This window comes from Homo sapiens, chromosome 3 (genome assembly GCF_000001405.40).
Source record: "Homo sapiens chromosome 3, GRCh38.p14 Primary Assembly".
NCBI classification, from domain to species: Eukaryota; Metazoa; Chordata; class Mammalia; order Primates; family Hominidae; genus Homo; species Homo sapiens.
Genome location: NC_000003.12, coordinates 130,231,806 through 130,252,186, shown reverse-complemented (window position 1 = coordinate 130,252,186; position 20,381 = coordinate 130,231,806). Strand labels below are relative to the sequence as shown.

At 38.6% G+C, this 20,381-nt stretch overlaps 1 pseudogene across 1 annotated transcript in view; it reads right to left on the bottom strand.

Moving 5' to 3' along the window:
* The window catches only part of COL6A4P2 (collagen type VI alpha 4 pseudogene 2), a 60,987-nt pseudogene that overhangs the window by 21,620 nt on the left and 18,986 nt on the right, over positions 1 to 20,381 (bottom strand). Inside the window, exons 9-19 of the transcript NR_027898.1 lie at positions 18,679 to 18,741; positions 17,538 to 17,600; positions 16,965 to 17,027; positions 14,618 to 14,668; positions 7,861 to 7,896; positions 7,694 to 7,756; positions 6,352 to 6,414; positions 3,765 to 3,801; positions 3,436 to 3,570; positions 1,459 to 1,470; positions 878 to 1,369 (exon numbers count right to left, since the gene is read on the bottom strand). The product of NR_027898.1 is annotated as a collagen type VI alpha 4 pseudogene 2 (transcript). The remainder of the gene's footprint in view (positions 1 to 877; positions 1,370 to 1,458; positions 1,471 to 3,435; positions 3,571 to 3,764; positions 3,802 to 6,351; positions 6,415 to 7,693; positions 7,757 to 7,860; positions 7,897 to 14,617; positions 14,669 to 16,964; positions 17,028 to 17,537; positions 17,601 to 18,678; positions 18,742 to 20,381) is intronic.

Genomic DNA, 20,381 nt, shown 5'->3' with positions numbered 1-20,381 from the left:
AGTAAAGTCTGGAGAATAGATAAGTAAATAAATGGTTATGTATACATACAATGGAATACTGCACAGGAATAATAAAGAACAAACTACCCACACACACGACATGGAGGAACAAGAAGAGACACCATGCTGGCTGGAAGAAGCCAGATACAAATGAGTACATGCTGTATGACCCAATATATGACGGTCCAGAACAGGCAAAAAGTACTTGATTGTGATAGAACTCAGAGAAGCAATTACCATGGGGAGTGACTGCTTTATGGTTGCACAAAGAACATGAAGAAAACTTACAGGGCACTGAATGTGTTCTATATCTTGAACCACGTATCCGTCACAGGGATTTAAACATATATAAAAATTCATCCATCTGTACATTTAAAATTACTGCACTTTGCCCACTTTGTTACATGAGTATGTATGTTATATTCTGGTTTTTAAAAAGGAAGAAAATTGTATTCTCTGACCTCCAATGATATAGTTTAGCATAGTGGTTAAGCACAGGCTCTGGAGGCAGACCATATCTGCCACTAACTATTTGGCCTTTGATGATATATTTAACCTCCATAAGCCCTCGTTTTCTTATCCTGGAATTGGAAATAAACAATAACACCTACATTACAGAGTTGTGGGACTCATTAAGTAAGATAATGTATATGAGGCACATAGCACAGAATAGGTTGCCCAAGATTAGCCAGTGGGTACTAGGAGTAGCACCAGTATACAGGCCATACTGAGAGTCCTCACTCCTTGCATACACATCAATTCCAGGGAAATTCTTTCCCTAAACATCTCTCATTCCTCATGTGGTTCTTGATGGAGAGGTAGAAACCAGGTGTTAACACCCCCAGCTCCCTGCCCACTTGTGGTTCCCCGTACATACCAGCAGGGTGTCCGGGAGGTTGTGCCCCTCTGTGAAGGTGATGACCACGGGGATGATGCCCACTGCAGCAAGCTCCAGTGTGGCTGTATTGATGGAAGCTGCATCATAGGCCCAGCCCGCCTGGAAGAACACAGCCACCTTCCTCATGAGAAGACCCGAGCGTACACGTTTGAACACGTCTCGCCATAAACCTCATGGTGGCCCCGAGGTTCCTGCGGCCAGATGACTGCTCCAGGGGGATGTTCCTGACAGCCTCCAGGAGTGCAACCTTCCCCTTGTAGTCTGAGAAACGAACCAAGTAATTGGTTTTGGCATTGTAGGAAACAATGGCCACATGGGCACCTGTTGGGCAGTTACTGTCACTTATTTCCATCTTCATCAACAGAGACAATAAAATGTCTCTCATCCTCTCAAAATCCAACAGGGAGACATCATTTGACATGTCCAAGGCAAAGGCCACTTCAGTTGGGAATGCTGGGCATTTGGAAATACCTTGAGACAACAGATACACAGATTTAAGATATTCTGTAATGCCTTGAAAGAGGTAAGGATTGAAGTGAGTAAGAAGGAATATTATTTACCTCTTGAACAAACTGGAAGGGAAATTATTTTGGAGAGAAAAGAAGACATTGTTAGCTTATGTAGGCAGTGGCACCTTTCCCATGTGTGTGCTTCAATATGAAAAACCATCTTTTCTGAGAAATTCAAGCATGGCCTTCTCAGGCTCCTGCTGAGTGTAGCAGAGACCTCTACTTGTCCCCCAAAATCCATTCTCCCTTTTTTTCTATAGTCATGGAACCCCCAATTTCACATTGAGCATATGGATGCCTGGAACAAAGACAACATTTCCCAACTTAGCCATCTTACAAATTCTAGGTAATAGAATAGGAAAGATGATAGGTAAAACTGAAAAAATATTCTTCTCCTTTCCCTTCCTTTCCCTGATGGTTGAAATATAGATGTGATGACTGAAGCCTGATATATTTTCAGACCATGAAGCAATTTGGGGAATAGAACATCCCATATACACACAATGGCAAAGCAGGAAAATATAAAGGGACTAATCCCTGACCACCACAGGCTCCATATCAACCTGAACTGACTAGTTCCAGCCTATGGTTTCAGAAATAACATTTGTACCACTGTTACTGAGGATTTAGGTCACATTCAACTGAACTTAAACCTAATGAATACATTGAGCTATTCTGAAACTATATTATATACATGTATATAATATATACACATATAAAATTACATATATATTAATTATAAACTATATGTATTATATATGTGTGTGTATACAAGTAATACATTTTCAAAAAATACTAAAAAAAACAAAAAATAGAATTACCCTTAATTCATCATGTATATGTATTTATGTATATAAATAATAAATATATAATTATTTCATTTCATTTTATAAAACTTGGAGCTTAAGATATATTTATTCTGAATCTTTATTCACTTAGTGTGTAATGATTTTTTTCCATCAATAAATTTAGAGCAATATCATCTATTTTACTATATAGATGATCCTTTATGAGGAGCATACTTGCACATGTATCTGTGCACATTTGTCCAATCATAGCCCTATATAAATCTCTGTAAGTATTGATTTTATATGCATGGTCCAGCCAGTTGCTCTTCAGAAAAGTTGTATCAATGTACACTCCCATCAGCAATATGTACTCTTACACATTTCCCAATCTGAATAGGAATTTTTCTGGCATTTTTAAAACACTTCCAACCTGAGAGACAAAATGGGTATCTCATTGTTTTAATTTATATTCTATGACTTCTGGTGAAGTTGAACATTTTTACAGGTTTATTGTACGTTTGTATATTTTCTTTTCTGAATCTCCCATTCATGTCTTTTGCCCATTTTCTAAAAGTGGTGTTTTTTTGTTTTTACATTTAGTTTTAGCCATTATGCAATGTCTGTGTTTGTAGATAAAAATGACTGAGCAGTAGCAATTTTTTATATTTCAACATGATATAGTAAGGAAGTTAGTTCCTTTGCCTGTGTCCTTTGCTTATATTACAAACTATTTTTTCCCACTTTTCTGTTTACTTTTGACTTCATGGCATCCCTCAATGTAAAAAGGTTTTAACTTTTTACATGGTTGACGCTGAGACTCTTTTAATTCATAATCACACTGATGGTATTATTCTTTATGATTTATAGGAAAAAGAAGTCCAGAATCTCTCTGAACAGCCACTGGATGGGAACAGAGAGAACATGGAAGGGTTAGGGTAAGAAGGGCAGGATGATTGCAGAGAAAACCCAAACTTCCAAACTAAGCAATTTGCCAAATCTACATTCTCACCCCATGGCCATTAAGTAGATAACTGTACATATCATAGGACACAAATATCCTGGAATGCATTGAACATAATAAATAAATTCCAACTTGAGGATGTGACAAAACATTACTTAAGATTGGATTGTTCATAATTCCATTTTCAAAACACAACTGTAAATAAAATAGGACAGATTTCTTCTCAAAGGGTGACTATTGATCCCTCCTATTTAATAGGGTTACATAAAAAGAACAAACCTCCTTTGTTTTGTGATAAGAAGCAGCAAGATGTAGGCACACAGGTGTGCAGTTATGACATCTCCTGGGGCACAGTATTGCTCAGTGGAGCTTCTCTTCATCGTTGAGATGGCATGCTGTCAATCCACTTTATTTCTGAGACCACATTGGGAAAGATTACTTACCTAAAGGGTAACTGAGCCCAATGGATGAATTTATAAGAGCCTTTCGCAATGAATCAGGCACCTTCCAAACCTCAGCCAAAGCCTCAGGTGACTTATGCCCCTAATCCGTAATCCATCCCCAGCTCATACCACTGGCTCCTTTTGAGCCTTTCCGAAACAACTTACGGCAGTTTTCACGTGTGAAATCAACAATTTTGCAAGGCTGTTAAAAAGATGGGGGGAGAACAGGAAAAAGGAAAAAGTATCTAACTTGAAGCATATTTTTATTCACACATGTCACCTTAGGAATGTCATATGGATGTTATCAGTGCCTATCTGAAGCTTTTTAATCTACAACAGAAAACCCAAAAATTGTCAGAGCCGATGAGATACTCTACAATTACATTTCCAAATCCTGTCGATATTTTAAAACACTTAAAAGATGTGTGTGCAATGTAGTGCCCATATTTTTGGAGATAGGTAGATAAGGGGTACCCATTTTTTAAATCTGCCTTACAAAGTAATGGAATAAAACCTGATTTTGAAGAAGTTGAAACCAAAGAATCTCAGCAGAGAATGCAAGGAAATGCTTTCAATTCTTGGCACTCTATATTATAATAGCAATTCCTATATCACTTCTTTAGAATGACTGCCAAGACAGACACCCCTAACACCTCACCTAGTCATTCTGCTTCTTTCCTTCGATCCCTTCCTCTCTGTTCTGTTCTTCTCTCCATCCCAGTCCTCATCACTTCCTGCTCCTCAGTTGCCTCCACACCCCCCACCCCCTGCCTAATAGTATTTTTGTACTTGGGAGATGAAACGCTATCATAACTTTTGAGATTGTTTTCAAGTGTTCCATGAAACACAGAAACCTGTGCTATTCAAAAGCCTGTGTGTGGGTTTATAAATACTTTATAAGCAGTTTTTGAGAGTTACAAAAAGTCACATTACAGAAAGGTAGTAGCCTCAAAGTCTTTTTCTTTTTTAATGTCAACTAGTGTTGCTCAAAAACACCCCAATTCCCTGCTAGATTTAAAATACCATTCTACTATTTTTATTTGACTTGGCGATAACATTTCAGAGTAAAGTCTATAAACTTAAAGTACTAACAGAATTTGTAAGAGGAAAAAACTAAAGAATCTTTAAGATTAACAGATTTCTATTTTGTGAAAGTGGAAAGCTTTGTGTTCTAAGAAGAATAAAGTTTTGGCTGGGTGCAGTGGCTCACGCCTGTAATCCCAGCATTTTGGGAGGCTGAGGCAAATGGATTACTACAGGTCAGGAGTTCAAGACCAGCCTGGCCAACATGGTGAAACCGTGTCTCTACTAAAAATACAAAAATTAGCCAAGCATGGTGGCACACGCCTGTAGTCCCAGCTACTTGGGAGGCTGAGGCAGGAGAATCTCTTAAACCTGGGAGGTAAAGGTTGCAGTAAGCCAAGATCATATTACTGCACTCCAACCTGGGTGACAGAGCGAGATTCCATGTCAATAATAATAATAATAAAGTTTGGAATTAAAATCTTCATCTACCGTCATATCTACCAAACCTTTGGGGCCCTTTATACCCTGGAAAGAATGGAAACTTGAGTTTAAAATGCAAAATTTTGAGATCCAACACATTCTTCTACAGAGTTGGCAAAAGAGTCTTAAAAACTCTACCACACTACATAGACCATCTTCTGTCCTTCACTCCCAGCCCTAGAGTTCTGTCTGACTCCTTTAGGAAGAAAGCCAGAGTGCCTAAGAGGTGTATCCAAGACCTCTGAGTCCAGAAGGCCTAGACAGAAACACTCTTAGAGGACCAGGTCATTTTGAAACCATAGTTTAGGATCACATTCAGAAAAAGGGCTATCAAAGATCCCAGGACCATTCATCGATAGTTCTAAAGTAGACCCCAGTTCCTCCCTTATCCCTTCTCTTCAGGCCACCCAGCACCACCCTTTTTCTGCCATAATACTGAACAAGAAGTCTTCTCTGGAAACCTTGCGATTAGAGCTTCATGGCTCCAACCTCTGGGAGTCTAGAGATCATTTTTCTTATTTAGAATCTACAAGGTGGTAACTTGTGACCTCAGGCAGGTCACTATAATTATCTCAGCATCTCAGCCTTTGTTTCCTCTTCTGTAAAAATGCCATGAATGGTCCTTCTAGCATTAAAATTTTTTATTTTCTGACTTTGTTGCACCTCTCCAGTAAACCCTAGACTGCAAGTGAGACCACCAGGTTCAATCCATGGCTGACCTACTGCGCCATCCCTCGTGGATTGACAGTCTGGCCTCCTAGGACAAGGCGCAGAGCAGAAGGATCGTAGCCTCAAACTCTTTCCTTTCATATCAAATGATGTTCCAGGGAATTTAAAAAATATTTGTGGACTTGCAACATTGTTAGTTAAGATTATATAAATATTATATTTTGTTAGGGTTTCCCCCTAGTTTTGCATAAATATTGTTGCTCATCTTGTTTGCAATGATAAACAATGATAAACTCACTCTCCAGTGAGTTTTATGCATCATTTTATTTATTTAGGTTCATAAATCTCCAGCCACTCCAATATCTTCCCCATGTTCAAGTAAAAATATATATTGAATAAATATACTGTATAAAGACTTGAAGCTAATATGCTATAGGACAAATTTACCCCATTCTCTATGTTGATCCCACTGTTTGTCCCAAATGTTCATTTCTTCTTTAGAGATGCTTCTTATCAAATCTTCATTTATTTTTATACAACAGTTGAAAACAAAAGAAAAAGGAAGGGTACATATTACCATTTGTCCTGGTGGGCCTTGGTCACCCGAAGTTCCAACAAATCCAGGAAAGCCAGCATTACCCTAAAAAAAGACCAAGCCAGAAGAATAAGCTTCCTCTTTGATTACAACCATCAGATCCATTTTGATATGTTATTATTCCTAATGCCAATGAGTCTGCTATTGACCAGTTAGTTTATAAACTATATATCTGTGGGACAAGACATGGAGAATAGAAAGAGAGGAAGGTCATTTTATGGGAACCATCCAAATTCCCCCCTATATACCCAACCTCAGTCATGCACATATGTACATACACACACAAACACACACTTCTAGACAGATCCTTAAAATATGACTCAATACACTCTGTTGAGTCTTGAGGTTATATAATAAAAATAATGCAGGACGTCTGCATTAAGGGCCTGACATCAGGAAAAAGGAAAAATTTCCCTACCACCTTCTGGTTCTCAGTGTTTCAGAAAACGCACATGGTGGTCATAGGTTCACTGCTCATCTTCCAAGCATTTGAAATGACACAGTGTTATCTAAATACAGTGAATCCTTTATCTTTTTTTATTTGAAACTAGAAATAAAAGTTAGTTGATCAGAGCAACCATAGTCAGCAGCAAGCCAAGTTAGGCACAGATCAAATATTTCTTTATGTCCTTGCCAATGTATGAAAATGCTAATTCTTGAGTACCTAGAAAACATACATTATCTTTCCTTTCCTCTTTTCTGCAGTAAACACTAGTCCATTTCCTAGAAGACCTTGGTCTCTAACATTGATCGGCTAAACATTACCAAGATGTTAGATATCCACAGGCTTACTCTTCAAAAAGAGCTGCCAGTGATTGTGGCTGTTCAAGGCTGACTGTTCAGAACATAAAGGAATTGATTTTTAATCGGAGACTTGTATAAAGCACAGTGGACTCAAAGTCCACCAAGATGGCAACTACATTCTCAAGAATCTTTTCTAAAAATAGCAAGAGAAAGTTAAGGCTTGGAAGAATCCTAAAGAAACAGCAATGTTTGCTCAACAGCTAAAACAATATCCTTCCAAATGATGTCTAGACTTACCAAAGACACAGGTGCTCCCAAACTTGGTTTTAAAAGGTTGGTATTGTAAAACCAAAACTCCCAACTTGGATTTTCTGTTGTTATGGCTTGGTAAACTGTATTTGTATTCAGGAGATAAATGAGAGTGGGATTAAGTGGGGAGTGGGATAGCCAAAGGAAGGTGTGGAATGAGCATTGACTGGGCAGGAATGGGCTTCCTGCTAAGAAGTCCTAACCCAGTGGAAACGTACTTCCGTAATGATGTGGGCTTCTATAGATCTTAGGAAGTTTCTTTGATTCTTACCCTCTTCCCTCTTATTCCCTTTGCCCCCTTTTCTCCTTGATGGCCCGGGTCACCATCTTCTCCCTTAATAGAATCAAAAGCAGAACTTTGAGTGTAAAGAAAAATAAGCACAAACAAATGACACATGCTGCCTACCAGTTGCCAGGCCCAGAAATATATCTTCTTACTTGTGCACCAGGATAGCCAGGGAATCCATGTTCACCCTAGTGCCAGAAATGAGATAAGGTCTTATTTAATGTCATGTGATTAAGAAATTTCCTTGACATGCCTTGGGGAAAAAGAAGACACTATAATCCAGGTTCACCCTAGTGTCAGAAATGAGATAAGGTCTTGTTTAATGTCATATGATTAAGAAATTTCCTTGACATGCCTTGGGGAAAAAGAAGACACTATAATTTTGAGGAAATATACTCAAAACAGGTGCCAGGAAAAACAACTATAGCAACAGTTGTTATCTTGAGCTGCTCTCAAGTGGCCATATTTCATATCTCTAATTCAACATGAAACAACTTGTAAATAATTTTTACAAATTTCCCCCCCTCCCTAGTATATTGTGTAATGAAACTTCTTCCATAGGGCATTTTTATCTCTCAGTTTAAATAACCTGAGGTTTAATCCAACAGAAACCAAGGGAGAGGGCACCACATTGAGTGTTGGGAAGCAGGTGCTCATTGTCAGAACCAAAGGCAAACTACAAAGCAATCATTCATTCAACAAATATCTATTCACATCTCCTATCTTCCAAGCACTTCTCTAGGCACAGGAAATTCAGCAGTGAACAGAATGAAGACCTTGCTCTCACGGAACTTACAAGCTAGTGGGGAGGAAAATGAACAAAGAAATATATAATATGTGAGAAAGAGATCAATGTTATTCCAGAAAGGGTATTAAGGAATAAAGAACCATGTGTATCAAAGGATGAGGAGACACTATTTTATATGAGGTAGTCAGGCAAAGCCTTTTTATAAAGGCGGCATTTGGGCAAAGACCAGCATGAATTGAGAAAACAAGCAGACTTCTGGGAGAAGAGTGTTCCAGGCAGAGGGAGGAGTATGTGAAAAAAAAAAAAAAAAAAAAACCCTGAAGTAAGAGGAAGAGTATGTGCTGACATGTTTGAGGAACACTGAAGCAGAGTGGAGCAAGGAGGGCAGGCAGGAGGAGATGAAGACAAAGAGTTCACAGAGACCACACTGTGTAAATTCTTATAGACCATGTTAACAGTAGGTTTTATTCTGAGTGACATGGAGAACGACAGAAGGGCTATGAATAAAGGAATGACTTGATCTGACTATGTTTTTAAAGATGTCTCTAGCTGATGCATGGAGAACTAACTATATGAGGCAAGGGTGGAAGCAGAGAGACCAGGTCAGTGGCTATTGCCGTAACACAGATGGAAAATTATGTTGGCTTGGTCCAGAGGGTGGCAGTGCAGTTGTGAGAAATGATAAAATGCTGGATGTACTTTGAAGATAGGCTTACCACTATTTGTTGATGGATTAAATGTGGGAGTGAGAGAAAAAGATTTATCAATGACAGCTGCAAGTGTCTGTTTTGAGCAACTGGATGGATGAAGTTTCCAGTCCCTGAGATAGGAAAGGCTGGAGGAGGGGCAGGTTGTTAAGGGAACCAGTTTTGGCTGACTGGATATTTGATAATATTAAAGGATTATTATTAATTCTTTGGTGTAAGAATGGTAGTGTGGTTACATTTTTAAATAATCTTTTAAAGATGCAACCTGAAATGTCTATGCATGGAATATATGATTATCTTGAAGTAAATCCCACCTATATCACATGACCTACAGTAGGCGAACGTATGTAGACGTTCTCTCCTCACTCCTATTTTCTTAATGAAATACGAAGAATGATCATCTGCTTTAAATATGGACGACAAAGCAGATCTTGGAGGTTTGAGGAGGAAGGAGGGGGTATGAAATCAGCATGGTGGGAGGATAAGTGACTGGGTGTATAAATAAAAGAAAACAAAATTGGCCAGGGGTTGTTCATTGTTTGGATTAGGTGATAGGAACGTGGGGTGAGGCAGAAGAATGTCATTATACTAGTCTCCACTTTTATTTTTGAATTTTTCTGTAACAAAACGTTAACAAACAAAAAAACAAGAAGAAATTTATTTGGGGACATGCCAATTTTAAGATGCCTGCTAAACGACCAAGTGGAAATATTTTTAGAGTTTAGGATATTGGTCCAAGCTGGAGAGATAAAGTGGAGATAACAGGATTGATGGTTATTGATGCTATGGAACTGGATTTCCCCAAGAAATGTCACCGGAGAGGTGAGTAAAGAGGGAAGAAGGTATGAGAATAGAGCTTTCAGTCTTCTGATACTTAAAGGTCAAGAACATCCAGAAGATCTAGCAAAGCAGGATGAGAAAGAGAAGACAGTGAAAACCAGGAAAATAGAACGCACTGGAAGTTGAGTGAGGGAAAAAATCGGGAATAAACCCATGATCAATCTGTCAAATGCTGCTGAGAGATGGAGCACAATGAGAGCAGAGAAGTGACCATTGAATTTAGCAACATGGGGTTTACCTCAACTAAAGCAGATGTAGTTGAGTGGGGAGGGTTGAGGAGTGAAGGCTTGAGTGTCAGTTTTTCAACTTCAGCATCACTGATATTTTGGACCTGATGGTTCTTTGTTGGGAGGGGCTGCCCTGAGTATTGTAAGATGTTAAACAGCATCTCTACCCAGTAGATGCCAGCACCCTCTCCTTGAGTTCTGACAACCAAAACATCTCCAGACATTGTCAAATGTCCCCTGGAGGGCAAAATCACTTCCGTTGAGAAGCACTGGTATAGACTACTCCTTCAGTGAGTTTTGCCCAGGGGAAAAAAATGGAACGAGAGCCTCAGAAAGCAAAAGGGAGTGGAATCCAGTCTAGGAGGCAAGGATTAGTCTTAGGTAAGACCATGGACCCTCGTCCATAGTAGTAGGAGAGAAGGCAGGGTGTATGGGTACAGAGGCAAGTAGGTTGGCCTACTTGGTGGTGAACATTTATGGAGGTTCTTTTCTCCCTGCTTCAATTTTGTTCTTGAAATAGGAAGCATGATCATCTGCTTTAAGTATGGAAGACAAAGCAGATCTTGGAAGTTTGAGGAGAGAGGTGAGGGTGTAAAATAGTCAACTCAGAGAGAAGGGGAGTGAACAGATTAAGAAAATGTAGTCAACTGGCCAATCAGCATTATGAGACATTTAAAGTGAGGCCATTACATCTCGCAAAGAAAAATTCATGCAAATATGGACTGAATCTGTGTTCCATAATTTAACTGTATCATGATAAACAAAGACTGCACTTGTGCTTAGCTCCAAACTGACATGTAGCTCAAACCACATATATTTGAATTCTACCCAGAATTTCCCTGCTATGCAAACTTGTCCATAGCAAAGAAAAATTTAGTTTACCTGGATGGAATTTCAAGGGACTAGCTTCCACATTCAGCTCTGCCTCTAACTAGCTGTGTGACCACAGGCAAGTTACTTCACTTCTCTAAGCCTCAATTCTCTGAAATGTAAATTGACAAAGCTAAACTAGATGATCACTGAGGTTCCCCATAGCCCATCATTCCATAGATATTTACTGAGAACTTACTATGTTTGAGGCATTTTTCTGCTCAATAAAATGGCAGTGGTGCCATCTTGCAGCCACAGGGAAACAAGAGAATTGCAGAGAAGCCAGCCCAGAGTACGGACATCATTAAGCAACTAAGCATCACTAAACATTCCAGTAATTTCTTATTTTGTGAGGCAATACATGTAACTTGAAGACTGAAGCATCCAGAATAACAGTGGGTATTGAGATTTGATTTGCTCAACAAGTTCCATGTGACCTCCATGCTTTAAGACCTGTCAGTGACCAATTAACTACCTATTAAAATACAAGCTTCTTATGAGAGTGGCAGTCATTCATTTAAATACACTTATTGTCAGCACATCAAAAAGCTTATCCACCATGATCAATTGGGCTTCATCCCTGGGATGCAAGGCTGGTTCAATATATGCAAATCAATAAATGTAATCCAGCATATAAACAGAGCCGAAGACAAAAACCACATGATTATCTGAATAGATACAGAAAAGGCCTTTGACAAAATTCAACAACCCTTCATGCTAAAAACTCTCAATAAATTAGGTACTGATGGGACGTATTTCAAAATAATAAGAGCTATCTATGACAAACCCACAGCCAATATCATACTGAATGGGCAAAAACTGGAAGCATTCCCTTTGAAAACTGGCACAAGACAAGGATGCCCTCTCTCACCACTCCTATTCAACATAGTGTTGGAAGTTCTGGCCAGGGCAATCAGGCAGGAGAAGGAAATAAAGGGTATTCAATTAGGAAAAGAGGAAGTCAAATTGTCCCTGTTTGCAGACGACATGATTGTATATCTAGAAAACCCCATTGTCTCAGCCCAAAATCTCCTTAAGCTGATAAGCAACTTCAGCAAAGTCTCAGGATACAAAATCAATGTGCAAAAATCACAAGCATTCTTATACACCAACAACAGAAAAACAGAGAGCCAAATCATGAGTGAACTCCCATTCACAATTGCTTCAAAGAGAATAAAATACCTAGGAATCCAACTTACAAGGGATGTGTAGTTCTTCAAGGAGAACTACAAACCACTGCTCAATGAAATAAAAGAGGATACAAACAAATGGAAGAACATTCCATGCTCATGGGTAGGAAGAATCAATACCGTGAAAATGGCCATACTGCCCAAGGTAATTTACAGATTCAATGCCATCCCCATCAAGCTACCAATGCCTTTCTTCACAGAATTGGAAAAAACTACTTTAAAGTTCATATGGAACCAAAAAAGAGCCCGCATCACCAAGTCAATCCTAAGCCAAAAGAACAAAGCTGGAGGCATGACACTACTAGACTTCAAACTATACTACAAGGCTACAGTAACCAAAACAGCATGGTACTGGTACCAAAATAGAGATATAGATCAATGGAACAGAACAGAGCCCTCAGAAATAACACCACATATCTACAACTATCTGATCTTTGACAAACCTGAGAAAAACAAGCAATGGGGAAAGGATTCCCTATTTAATAAATGGTGCTGGGAAAACTGGCTAGCCATATGTAGAAAGCTGAAACTGGATCCCTTCCTTACACCTTATACAAAAATCAATTCAAGATGGATTAAAGACTTAAACGTTAGACATAAAACCATAAAAACCCTAGAAGAAAACCTAGGCACTACCATTCAGGACATAGGCATGGGCAAGGACTTCATGACTAAAACACCAAAAGCAATGGCAACAAAAGACAAAATTGACAAATGGGATCTAATTAAACTAAAGAGCTTCTGTACAGCAAAAGAAACTACCATCAGAGTGAACAGGCAACCTACAAAATGGGAGAAAATTTTTGCAACCTACTCATCTGACAAAGGGCTAATATCCAGAATCTACAATGAACTCAAACAAATTTACAAGAAAAAAACAAACAATCCCATCAAAAAGTGGGCAAAGGACATGAACAGACAATTCTCAAAAGAAGACATTTATGCAGCCAAAAAACACATAAAAAAATGCTTATCATCACTGGCCATCAGAGAAATGCAAATCAAAACCACAATGAGATACCATCTCACACCAGTTAGAATGGCAATCATTAAAAAGTCAGAAAACAACAGGTGCTGGAGAGGATGTGGAGAAATAGGAACACTTTTACACTGTTGGTGGGACTGTAAACTAGTTCAACCATTGTGGAAGTCAGTGTGGCGATTCCTCAGGGATCTAGAACTAGAAATACCATTTGACCCAGCCATCCCATTACTGGGTATATACCCAAAGGATTATAAATCACGCTGCTATAAAGACACATGCACACGTATGTTTATTGCGGCACTATTCACAATAGCAAAGACTTGGAACCAACCCAAATGTCCAACAATGATAGACTGGATTAAGAAAATGTGGCACATGTACACCACGGAATACTATGCAGCTATAAAAAATGATGAGTTCATGTTCTTTGTAGGGACATGGATGAAATGGGAAATCATCATTCTCAGTAAACTATCGCAAGAACAAAAAACCAAACACCGCATATTCTCACTCATAGGTGGGAATTGAACAATGAGATCACATGGACACAGGAAGGGGAACATCACACTCTGGGGACTGTTGTGGGGTGGGGACAGGGGGGAGGGATAGCACTGGGAGATATACCTAATGCTAGATGACGAGTTAGTGGGTGCAGCGCACCAGCGTGGCACATGTATACATATGTAACTAACCTGCACAATGTGCACATGTACCCTAAAACTTAAAGTATAATAATAAAAGAAAAAAAAAACAAATACACTTATTGAACACCTACTCTCTGCCAGGCTCAACTCCAGAAAAACAAAAGTGCAATGCTGCTGTCAGGTTTATTGCCTGGGAGATACAAGAATAAATTACAATACAACCTTAACAGAAAGGAGCTACTGCAGAAATATGAACGTGCTTTAGGAACACAGTGTATAGGACAGCAAATTCTGTCTGGGGAAGACCAAGGCTGCTTCCACAAGGAGAAGTTAGTACTTGACTGGGTCTTAGAAAATGAGTAAAAATTGTCCAAGAGATGGAGATCAGGAAGCACATTCCAAATGGAAACACGAGCGTTTGCAATGCCAAGGAAGTTGAGAAAGGGTCTGGCACTACCAGAGCTGAGGTGGGAATATCTGACATATATGTGGAAGATGAGGGAAGAAGTTTGACTTTTAAATAAGAGAGTGACAAAATCAATTTTTACTTTTTAGGGAGGGAGCTCTGGTGGCCAAAACATTTTGTAAATATGTACAAACCGTTCCTGGCATACAACTTGGAAAATAACACTTATTTTAATAAAATAAAATAAAAACTACAGTCCTTAGTTCAGAATACCCTGTAAGGTTACCCTCACCTTTGTTCCTTTTGTTCCTGGATGTCCTTATCCATCAGAACCAGGAAGACCCTAAGAAAATGACATATAAGATGAATTGTAGAGTCATGCAGACCAACACTTGGTTGATAATAATATCTGAACCCTTGGATAAATCAACAATGCAAGGAAGTAAGGACAACAATGGGGCTTGATGGAGATTGGGAGACAACCTTCATAGGACAAACACTCAGATTTGGAGAAGATGAGGGTTTAAAACTTTGAAAGACCACAACAGAAGGAAGTTTTTAGGTTTTTTCAACCCCCATCTGTACATCAGCAAGATGATACCTTGGTTGTAGGAAGCCATACACAACTGTACAAAGTTTCCCTTGGGCTAAACTTGCTTTCCTTGTGAGATAAAGTAAAAATAGAAGCTCTAGAATTGGTAAATCATCAGACAAAAGCACAGACTTTGGAGAAAAAGAGTGGAATATAGGCAATATAGTTTAGTGATTAAGTGTACAGACTATAAACCCAGACAGACCTGAATTTTTATTCCAGTCCCAACATTAGTTGTTTGAGTGACCCTAGGGAAGTTGCACAACCTCTATAAACTTCAGTTTCCTAATCTGTAAAATAGGGATAATAGTATCATCTTACATTGTATACTTGTTGGGAAGATTAAGTGAGATTGTGTATGAAAAGTGCTTAGCACAATGTCAGGCACAGAGGCAGTACTTGATAGATGGTAATTAGTCTGCTGCTGGTGGTAGCAGTGGTAATGATGGTGTCGGAGGAGGGCAGTAATGATAGTGGTGCTGATGATAATAGTGAAGGTGGTGGTGATGGTAGTGATAGTGGTAGCAATGGTGATTGATGATAGTGATGGTGATAGTAATGATGATGGTGGCAATGGTGATGATGGTGTTGGTGGTAGTGATGATGGTGATGGTGGTGGTAATAATGAAGATGATGGTGATAGTGATGGTGGTAGTGGTGGTGATGATAATTGTGATAGTGGTAGTGGTAGTAATGATGGTAGTGGTGGTGGTGGTGATGGTGATAGTGATGATGGTAATGGTGGTACTGATGGTGACGGTGGTGATGGTGATGGTGGTGATTATGCTGGTAGTTTTGATGTTATTGCTGAAGATAATGATGGTGGAGGTTGCAGTGGTGGTGATGATAATAATCATGAAATTGGTGATACTACCAAGGAGCTTAGCATCTGTATAGACAGACAATGAGCTTACTGTAATAAAGAGTAAATTCAAAACCCTATAGGTGTTTTTTCTGAATGGACAGAGTTCCCCTAAACCAGGTAGATCAGTTGAGAAGAAAAATTAAAAATCTGAAGTCACAAAAAGATTCCTATGGTCTAAATAGGAAAGTCTGAAAGACTAGAAAAGAAAGAAAAATAAGACAGAAGATTGCCAAAAATGAGTTCTTGGCAGGGGCCATGGGGCGGTGATAATGAAGTTCATTTGCTGTTACTCCATCTTGTCCTTGCTGAAGGATGTGCAGAACCTCCAGCATCTGCAACCCCCAAGACCCAAACTCTGTATTTTTCGAGATGTCTTTTGAAAATAGTCATAAAATAGCTAACTTGCTCTCCTGTTCGGGGTGATAACTAAGGTAAAAATGCATAGCCCTGCGTTTGAAAGTATTGTCTTGTAAAAGGAAATCTTTTATGATCTTTGGTCTCCAAAGATTATTTCTATGCTCTGGATAATCAAACCCATACTCTTAAAAGTTTGCTGATCTGGCTGCCTTATTTGTTGCCCTGGAAAAAAAATGTTTCACTGAACATCTCTGTATTCCTAAAAGACTCAAATGCTTATAAAATATCATTGTCAAACAGATGAGAGACATTGGCACTTTGCTCTTCAATATGTGAGAAGGCAAAATAAATTCCAAGTCATCTTTAGATTCTTAATTTATACAAGAAGTCTCAGAAACTTTGACTGTTTTGATTCTTAAGAGCTCTGGTGGTCATGTCATATTTGGAACCATGAGTTTAACTCATCAAGAATATTAAAATTTTGTGTTCACAGCAATGATGTTAAAGCCATTTCAATTTATTACATCAAGTTGATGCCATTTTTGTTTATCAAACCTCTTTTTTCATAATTTCTTACCAGCATCTAAAATATGGATAAGACACTTTAATGCTGTGGTAGATGACTCCATCAAAATTCGGCTTAGTGCACACTGAGATTTTTTAGACTATATCTCCCTGATTTGCCTGATTTCTTGTCTCTGGTACCTATATTCTGAACTGAATAAAAGTGGTTGCATACATTTAAAACATTAGAATTTTATGTAAAACAAGAACAAATGGCAAACAAATTCAATCAAGAATCCAAAACAGAGAAACTGGACTTACAGGTTGCCCTCTTGGTCCTTGTCGACTCTGTGGGCCTCTTTCTCCTACATCACCAATCTCTCCCTTTTATTATAAAGAGAAAATATCTAATTAATTTTCTTCTGTGAGATTATGTAATTTTGTGTCATTTTCCTTAGAGATTTTACAGTCACTGCTTTCAAGTTTTGGTAGCATGCCATACAGCCTAAGGTAAATACTTTTCTCTAGGCTTTGTTAAATATGGATGACTAACAAACATAGTAACAATTTTGGTACCGAAAATTAGCAGCACCAGGTATGCAACAACAATTACAGAATTTTATATTACTATGTCTTTTTCTAAATTTGGATGTGCACATTTATATTTGTGGTGAATCCATATGTATATCTATCTGTTGATACATCTTTGTCTACTTAAACATGTGATTCATTTTTCTATATGTTCATCTATATGCCTTGCCTTCAATCAATAGCATCACCAACCATATCAGAAATGTATGCTGGAAGTGATGATATAAGTAAAGATTTGTTTAAGAAAACCCAAGGGGTTCTCTCAAGCTACAATCAAGAAAGAGCGTGTTCTCTGACATTTACCTTCACTCCTCTTGGTCCAGCTTTTCCTTTTGAACCATTTGGCCCTGGAGGCCCAGGATTCCCCTGCAACAAGACCGTGGCCAAAATCACCACCAGGGCCACAAAGTTAACTGTCTGTCTCTGTTGTTATTATTGAAATACTCTGTAACTGGTAATATGCTCATGAATCACCTTAGAGATGGGAGTTTAACCTTTAGTATTTAATACAATTAATTAATTCTATCCTCCAACATTCAAAATGCATAATATACACACACTATGGGCTGGGGGGGTTAGGATAGGGGAGCAGGAGGCCACATCTACCACATACTGAGAATTGAAGGAATCATTTCTATGCTACAGAGGGAAACATTATTTGATTAAGAGATCAGGAAAACAAAAGCCTAGACTTTCACCTGCTCCAAACTGAAGATATTTTCAACTGAGATTGACAATAATATAATCAGTTATAAGGCTAGATTTTCTTTCCTGATCAAGGCAGAAAAATAGCAGAACTATTGCTTTGGCCATCTTTGAGCTGCTATTTTCAGTTTCCTGATGGAGACTCATTCCTGACTCTAATCATGCTGCTTATGTTTCTAAGCCATCTCAAATGCTCATTTCCTCAGGAAGCCAATCTAATCATCCGTCTCAATCTATCCAAGCATCCTATGAACCATCAAGATATTAGGTGGGGAGTAAAGCAGGCACTAGAAAGAACCAAGTTGGAAGTCAGTTCAGACACTTACTATCCGGATGACAAGTCATTTAATTCCCCTTAGCCTCAGTTTCCTTATCTATAAAATTGGTATAGTAATGCTTCCTTACATATTTGTAAGGAGCAGATTAGTTATTTATAATTTTATATGGTACCATTATGTCATCTTTTACTATAGCTAAATATGAACTTATATTACATACCCTCGAGGTTTAAACCCATATCTCATTGGTCACTATATTCCCAAAACTTACCTAGGGTAGAAGAAGATACATAGCAGATGATCAATATCTACTGCATCAAATTAGCTTTTCTAGAAATTCCTGATATCCCCATATCCCAGAACAAACAGTGTGACTTTATGTTATTTATCCAGGAACACTCAGGGGTATGAATCAGCCAGTGTTAATGAGTAGCTGCATTGTAGCTGTTTTACAAACCTACCTGAGCACCCACTAAGCCTTTTTGTCCAGAAGTTCCTGGTGGTCCTTGCCTTCCTCTTGGTCCCTGATCCAAAGATGAAATTAAAATGCAACCAATTTTTAAAGAGTCATTTATATTCCATGTAACCACAAAATCACCTTGGATGCCAATGGAAGCACAAATTAAGGTGCCCTGACCCATCACTATCTCATTTATCAAACTTTAATCAGGGAGCATCTGCACTCTGAAGCACCCCAGAACACTCACTTCAAACTCATGCCATCTGAAGCAGAGGATGCGAGTCCTCAGCGTCTCTATTTTTAGCAATCTCTCCGGGTGAATCTGATGAGTACTACAGTTTGAGAACATTGCTTTTATTTTTGAATTCACTCAACCAATTTTAAATTCTAAAAGGGTGATGAGAGGGCAGCGAGGCTATTGATCTCCATTGAAGAATGAACCTTTTCCTTATACACACAAGGGTTAAGGACAAGAGATTGTGTTTTCGATTTGATCAAGAGCCAAGGGTGCATTTAAGTAGCTTAATCTCACTGACTACACTGCTGGGATTTGCTCATTTTCTCTCCAATCTATTTTACTTTGCTGATTTTTGACACTTTAATATTTTCCCAGCTTTTCTGAGAAACACTTTCCTATTAGAAGTATTGATTGACTATGGCTTCTACTCTCCTAAGTGAGGTATTGATAATCATCTATTTAAATAGACCATCACACTCACATCCCAGCGGGAAGGTGAGAATTAAGGAGAGGTTTTATTGATTATCTTGCTCATGGTTCCCAGCATGACTTGCTTCACTTCCAATCAGCTGTGTAATGAAGTGGGTATAGACAGGAAAGCAGCGACACAACAGTGGTAGAGGGTCCTGAGCCAGTCATCAAAAAGAAAAGGGAAAAATATACATCTTTTAGTTGCTTTCCCTTCAGTTCAGATGCTATTTTCCATCATAAAATAAGTATAATCTCTAATTACACGTTAACTACCATTTTTTTTTCCTTAGTTCCCTTAGCAAGTCTAAGAGCAGCAGATACCTTCTGAAATTATCATCTGACACTCATAGGATTTTTAATTATGGAGAATGATTTGATATATTAGTAAAATTTGTTGTTCCGAAGTTCTTCAATTTGAGTATACTTAAAAACAATTTGTTTTTTAAAATAAATACATATAATGTGCTCCAGAAGGGCTATAGAATGACAGATTTGGGTTATGCTTAGACGATGCCAAAAGAACAGGTTGAAAGTTTAAATTTCCAGTTATCATTTGATAACCTAACAAAACCCCACTGGATGAACTTCTTGAGGGCAGGACCCTTGCCTTAATGGTATGAATGTCCGAGGTCTATTAGCAGTTCCCTGTGCATAATACATACTCTGTAAACACTTTACTGATTTTTTCCTACCAAATTGAATGATGGGGTCTCACTCTGTTGCCCAGGCTGGAGTGCCATGGCACCATCATAGCTCACTGCGTCCTTGAACTCCTGGGCTCAAAGTGACCCTCCTGCCTCAGCCTCCCAAGTAGCTGGGATGAAAGGTGCACACCACTATGCCAAGATATAAATACAATTTCAGCAAATTAAATAATATTTGAATACACAGCTTCAGAGGCAGTAATCAAGAGCACTGATTTTGTAACTATACTGCCTGAGTTTGAATCCCAGCTTTATCACTCACTAGCTGTGTGACCTTTGCCAATTTACCTA